The sequence below is a fragment of the Homo sapiens genome, chromosome X (assembly GCF_000001405.40).
Source record: "Homo sapiens chromosome X, GRCh38.p14 Primary Assembly".
NCBI classification, from domain to species: Eukaryota; Metazoa; Chordata; class Mammalia; order Primates; family Hominidae; genus Homo; species Homo sapiens.
In genome coordinates this window covers 7,443,802-7,450,745 of record NC_000023.11, presented here as the reverse complement: position 1 = coordinate 7,450,745, position 6,944 = coordinate 7,443,802, and the positions used below count along the sequence as shown (strand labels likewise).

The 6,944-nt window shown below is 40.5% G+C and overlaps 1 annotated feature.

Moving 5' to 3' along the window:
* Positions 1,273-1,816: an enhancer, noted in NCBI's record as "NANOG hESC enhancer chrX:7366971-7367514 (GRCh37/hg19 assembly coordinates)". NCBI's record gives its function as "activates a minimal SCP1, AML or CMV promoter by ChIP-STARR-seq in naive H9 embryonic stem cells {active_cell/tissue: H9 hESC(naive)}" and the evidence as "EXISTENCE:reporter gene assay evidence [ECO:0000049][PMID:30033119]".

The window sequence follows — 6,944 nt, the reverse complement described above, 5'->3', positions numbered from 1 at the left end:
TTACAGAAGAATGATATGTTTTGAAACCACCCTCACAGGATTAAGAATTCTGGATAGAAATACAGCCATAATTAAGCATTAATCAGGCTGCACTTTGACCCCCTTCCTTGTAACTGAAAGTTACATAGCAGATACTGACCATTTGCACCCCCAGTGTTCCTATAGATAGGATTTCTGACACTAGAATCATAAGGATTTGTTTAAGAATCAATTTGAATCACCATTGTTCTTATAGATAGGCTCTCTGATGTTAAAATTAGAAGGGTTTTTGTTTAAGAATTGCTTAAGACTTTTTTCAGATCTTAAATTCCAGCAAAACAGCTGACACCAACCAGTTTGAAGACACCCCCGCCCCACGCACGCACAGAGAAATGGGATCAGCATGAGAACATGGCTTCTTCATCTCCCTGATCCATGACTTCACCCTACACTCTTCCACCCGTCAATGATTTCCACACTTCCACCCACTCCAAAACCCTTATAAACCCTGGACCCAAACTCCTCGGAGAGAGGGATTTGAGGTTTCCTCTAGTCTCCTCATTTGGTAGCTCTATGATTAAACCTCTTTCTCTGCTGCAACCTGTTGTTTCCACATATTAACCTAATACATGAAAAGATGGGAGAGGATCAGCAGATGCCCTTTTACTCACTGAAACTGAAGACAGTCTCACAAGATCACACTTGATCATTCTAGGACTACAAAAAATGAGGATGTTAAACTTCAACTCTCTGAGCCTGGGCGTAAATATCTGGCTAGACCTCCCTTAAGGGCTCATATCTCCTGACTTGTGATGTTGGACTTGTGTGACAGTCACTGGAACACAAAGAGGAAGCTATGTTTTTGTGTCTCATTTGGGCAGTGAGTAGTTCTGTTTTACTCATTGGTGCCAGGCTGGGTATGCCTGGAAGGTGGAGGGAAGGAGATCCAGCCACCAAAACACCCAAGATGTTAGGCGATCCAACCACCAAGACACCCAAGGTATTAGGAGATCCAGCCACCAAAATATCTCATGACGTTAAGGTGTAGTGAGGTGTCTCCTTTGGAAGCAGAAAAGATAGGCTCATGAGTGTTGTTGTGGAAATTTAATTAAAAAATAAAATAAAATTTTCTCCCAATCCAGAAAACCTCTTCACAAAGGAAGAAGGGGAAGAAAACAATTTCATTATTGAATATGCATTAAATCAAAATGTAATGGATATCATATTCCACAATCTCTTAGAAATTGTGAAGATAGAAAGAAATCTCACTCTGTAGAACCAAGCAAATATAACCCCCTTACATATACATTCCGAAGATAAACAATAACTAGTCCTCAAGTAAGAGGACTTGACAACATTGTTTATTACACATAGTTCACCATCAGTTCACCCCATAAATGGGGTGACCATCGTGTTAGTTAATTTGTTTTGTACAAAGCAAAAATAAAGTCTGCTTACTTTTATGACACAGGTGGTTTTGCAACCAGGATCCAGGCCCTTCTGAAGTTAGGCTCCTACCTTCCTACAGAGACTGAGAGCGGGAGGTGATAACTCCCTTGATGTTTACATTTCAAAGGGATGGCTCCCAGGTCCTTAAGGAAGACACTGCTAGTTCCTAATGCTGGAAAGAGTCTTCTTGAGCTTTCAAAATGATTTACATATATTTCAAAGAGACCAGGAAAAAAGTTACAAGTTTTCTAAAGGAAATGTTCCAAATAAAAATGTAAGGGCAATTTGGGCCTGCCCTCTTAGGTCCGGTGGTCCTGGTAAGTCAACATGTATCTTACAAGGGCAGCAGTCTACTGCTGTTGCTCAAAATGCCTTCACGTTTTCCAAAGTGAATTCACTTGTGCTAAGTACTAAGACTATTTCTCAAATTTTAATTGGGTAAGAGGAAAAGAAAATATTTCTTTTAACTCTACCAACCTACATTGATGTCCTTTCCCTAAAAATCAGCCCACGCTTTGGCTCAGTAACTTGTCCCTTCTGGTGAGATGGACTGAAGCTAAGGGGATAGGATAGATGAGCAATATTTTTGTCTACCCCTTCTCCAAGCCTTTGAGAGAACCTTAAAAGAGATACATCTAACGTAGCCTGTAAGAAACATACCTCGTATGTCATAATGTTGGGATGCTACATGGATATCAATTTAGGAATTGATTTCAGAATTATTTGATAAAGGAGGAACAGGGGGAATCAAAACTTACGATTTCACTTATGATTTGATGAGCACATCATTTATACCTTTCTCGCTACCCAACATGTTATTCTCCAAACTCAGGTCCCAATAACTAACGATTTTTGCAAAAGTGGTTTTACTTACTGCCCTGTTCATGGATAGCATATGCAGTGGCCCATGAGCACAGACTTCTGGTAAACCCACAGTGCATAGGAGATCAGCGAGATTCAGAAAGAGGACAATGTAAGCATGGGACACCTACAAGTGAGTAAGCTAACAGCCAAGCGAGGCCATGCTTTCCCTTGAAACCACAACTTCCTTCAAATTCAGAAAGAAGGCACAGGCGTTCTGAGAAACATGCAAAACGAAAAAATCCTGGGTTACCCTGCATGAGCCAACTCCTTAGGATGAAAAATGATGACAGAGAATAAAAGACTAAGAAGGGAAGCCTGTAATTCCTTTTCCATTAAGTCCTTCCTTACCAGTAACTAATCATAGTGAGGTACAATGTGCACATAGAAAGAAGCAAAATAAAAACAGTTGATTTAGTTTTGTGTAGTGTTTCCACTGTTCTGGTAAGAACAAAATACATATGCATGTATGCACCATGAAACATAAATTAGGTAATTTCGGTGATTCTGTCCACAAGTTAAATGCTCTTCTATTTGCATTTAAAGCTGGTATTACGTCATATAAAGACGAATGGTAATACTCATGCTAATAATTTAAAATTTTAATTTTCCTTTTCTCAGAACAACATTAAATAGCAAATACAAAACACCATGACAAGCCAAGTGAGAGACTGCAGAAGAGAGGTAAATGCTTTATACTTATTTTTCCTTTAATGGCACTTTGGGCTGTTTTTTTGAAAAAGGGGCACTACGTTTTCATTTTATACTGGGCCCCAGAAATTAGATAGTCAACCTCATTACAATATGTACACTTTACATCCTCCACCCAAGTTTCTAGAATAATCTAGATATTATAAACCAAATTCTGCCATTCTATTCACTGGTAGCTTTTATTCACTTTGATACTCAAAAAACATCTTATACTCAAACATCCTGCAATTATGTGTGCTTTTTGGAACATTTTAGAATAAATCACTTTAACGTAAAAAGATGAGCTGACAGTCTTGCTTGGAGTAGGTCAGTTTTGTGGGAAAGCACATATCTCTTAGAACATTAATGGCCTCTATCCCTCTTCCCCATTATATAACTAGCATGCTTACTTGATGGAGTACTTGACATTTGCTATCTTCTTGCTAGGGCTTGCTGAAGATCAGCAGTTCTTAAATTTGGCTGCATGTTAAAATCACATGGGGAGTATTTTTAAAAAAAAAAAAAAAAAAAGAAAGAAAAATACCAGTCCCCAGGCTTCATCTCAGACAATGCACCTCAGACTCTATGGGAGTCTAAAATGTAACCAGGGTCAAGATTCACTCCCTAGCTATATGACAGTGCTTCTCAACTTTGCCTGAGCAAAAGAATGTCATGAAAGTCTCGGTGAAATTCTAGACTCCTTGGCTCCTCCCCCACCAAGTCAATGAGTCGTAAAGGTAGGAATTCGGTACATTTCGCAAGCACTCCAGGTTATTCTTATGATCAGGGTCATTTAGGGAGCATGACTCTAAGATGAGTTGAGAAGGAAGAGAGAAGAAAAATGATTAATAAAGCTGCCAGTGATAAAAGGCTCTGAGAATCAAGCTGTTCTCTGGTCTTCCCTCTCTAATCATACTAGCCCACCTGCATTACTTATCTATATGTGTGTAACAAATTACCATGAACTTAGTGGTTTAAACCAGCCCACATTTATTATCTCATGGTTTCTGTGGATCAGGAATCTGGGTATGGCTTGTGTAGATTTTCTGCTTCAGGGTCTCACAAGACTGCCACCAGCAATCAAAGTGTTAGCCAGTGCTGTGGTCTTATCTGTGGCTCAACCGGAGAAGGATCCACTTCCAAGCTTGCAACATTTTTGGCAGAATTCAATTCCTTGTGAAGTGAAGGACTGAAGGCCTCAGTTTCCTGCTGGCTGTTGGCCAAAGATGGCCCTCCCTTCCTTGCCATGTGGGCCTCTGAAATATGGTAGCTGATTTCTCCAGTGCCAGTGAGGGAGAGAAGCACCCAGCAATATGAAAGTTACAACCTTATGTAACACAATCACAAAGGAAGCATCACATCTCTTCTGCTATATTCCGCTGGTTAGAAGCAAGTCTCAGGTCCTGCCTATGCTCAAGAGAAGGGAATTAGGGTCTGCCTGTCACAACTCTACACAGCAGAGTACTATAGCCACAGCAACTGTCCATAAATTCTAAAGCCATAACACATGGGTTCATATATCTGGCATCCCAGCTTACCAACATTCACCTTCAACGGGCTCCTTAGCTTCATGGATCCTTAGTTTTCACATCTGTACAATGGGGATAAAATAGGATATACCTTATAGTGTCACCGTCATAGGCATTTGAATGATTACATGCAATGAGCTTGGCAAACTGGTCTACACATACTATGTAAAAATAAAAGCAAGTCTTGTAACTATTTTTATATGACACATGGTTAAACCATATTCAAGGCGCATTTGTCCAGGGTTAGTGAACCAAAATCAACGTTTTGCACACCAGTTCTATTGGAAAGTGGCAGAGCAAAGGGCAGCTTCTGTGACTCTCTTAAATGCGTGGGTATAGATACCTGGTGCATAATAAATGGCATTGTGCTTTTCTCCTGTCTTTGCTATTGGCACTCAAAATGGATTCATTTATACATTCAGGGAACATAGATTGTATAAGGCACTGTCCCATGATGACCAGGCAACCCTGCCTCCAAAGCTCTGCAATGTACTCATTTTGTGAGTACCGTAGTATAACTGCAGTAAAAGGAATAACGTAATAAGTTGTGTAAGAGACTGACAATCAAAATGCTATGGCAGTTTATAGCAAAGAGAATCACTTTGGGCTGTGGAGATAAAAGAAAATTCCATGTAGAAGGCATCTATGGACACAGCAGTAAATAAAATATATTGCTATTAGAAAGTATATTAAAAAGCCAGTCATTCAAATATCGATGGGTAAGTGCATTATTATTTTGCTCCAAGGAGTAAATTCTGCTTGTTCTGCAAAATGATATTGGGCTCTTTATGGTATTGCTCAGGGCTGGGACCTAATACCCACTGTAGTCATTCCACAGAGGTGGGATGGACCCCTCCCTCCAAACACGCACACATCCAAACTTTGCTTTAGAGGTCAAGACTGATGACATTACATGCATAAAGAATGTATGAGAAGGCTTATGACACAGTGGGGCTTTCTGGGAAGAGCAAGGAAGACTCCCAAGCTAGTACAAAGATGGCTTCAGTCACAGAGAAAGGAGATGACTCAGCTTTCATGGTGGTTAAGGTGTGAGGTTGCAGGGAGCCTTCTTGAACACAGGCTGTGGCTTGCATAGTTTCACTCCCTCAACCTCCAGGCATTCTTATTACTTACCTGGCTGTGGTGACAGAAGGGGAAGGGGAGTTGTGGGTTTGAATGCTGTTTGCGGTAAAACATCCAAAATGGATTCAGAATATTTATTGCAGTTTTTTCTTTATGCACGTGAAGTAACTGAATCACAAGGATTTATTTGTATGCCCTGGGTCACATGCCAACGCAAGAAGCCCAGAAACAAACCAAAGAAACAGGCTTCTCTCGGCCTTCCTGGGCTCCAGGTTAAGCTTGTGTGTGCTTTCTATTCAGAGTAGAAAAAGAGAATAACAAAGAGTTTTCCCTTTCATGTGACCTCTTGAAATACATTTTCAAGGATGGAAGACAATGGACTCTACCTATCATATCACGGAAGAGGATGGGTGAAGAGACTTAGAAGTTCAAGGATAAGGGCTCAGTCAGTTACAAGGCGTATATTATCATTCCCCTTGTTTGTGATAATACCCTCCAATTAAACTCAAAGATTTCATGCCAAGATTCTTTTTTAAAATGACAATTTTATGCCAGGGTTATGAATTACACATCTCCAGAGGAGACAGTTCAAGGTTTTCTATTATTAATATTACAGCATTACTATTAAATAAACAATGATCAGTATCATCCCCTCCTCTTCAGAGGGCTGGTTTTCTCACCAGACTGTGGGACATAACAGAAGTTTTCAGAGATGAGGGTCCTCCCCTGGTCCTCATAGAAGTAAATAAAAGTCAGAGACAACAGACAAGGACTTCACTATCTGGAGTGTCTCTTACCACAAGTTAGCAATGTGTGTGTGTGTGTGTGTGTGTGTGTGTGTGTGTGTGTGTGTGTGTGACAAGGTCCTGTTCTGTTGCCCAGGCTGGAGTGCAGTGGCATGATCTCAGCTCACTGCAACCTCTGCCTCCTGGGTTCAAGCAATTCTCAGGCCTCAGCCTTCTGAGTAGCTGGGACTACAGGCACGTGTCATCATGCCCGGCTATTTTTGTCATTTTAGTAGAGACGGAGTTTCATAATGTTGGCCAGGCTGGTCTCAAACTCCTGACCTCAAGTGATCTGCCCACCTCAGCCTCCCAAAGTGCTAGAATTATAGGCGTGAGACGCCATGCCCAGCCACAAGTTAGCAACATATTTTAATAGGAGATGAAATAACTTCAAGGCTCATTCTCAAAATCCATTCATCTTTTCTCAGTAACCAAATCCAGTTAGCCGACATAAGTTGTTAGAGACATCACATAACAGATGCTCTCTCTTGTAATAAAATCTCCTTTAAACATTTTGAAACGACTCTTTGAGTAAACCCCACAGGAAAAAAATAATACCAGGAAATGC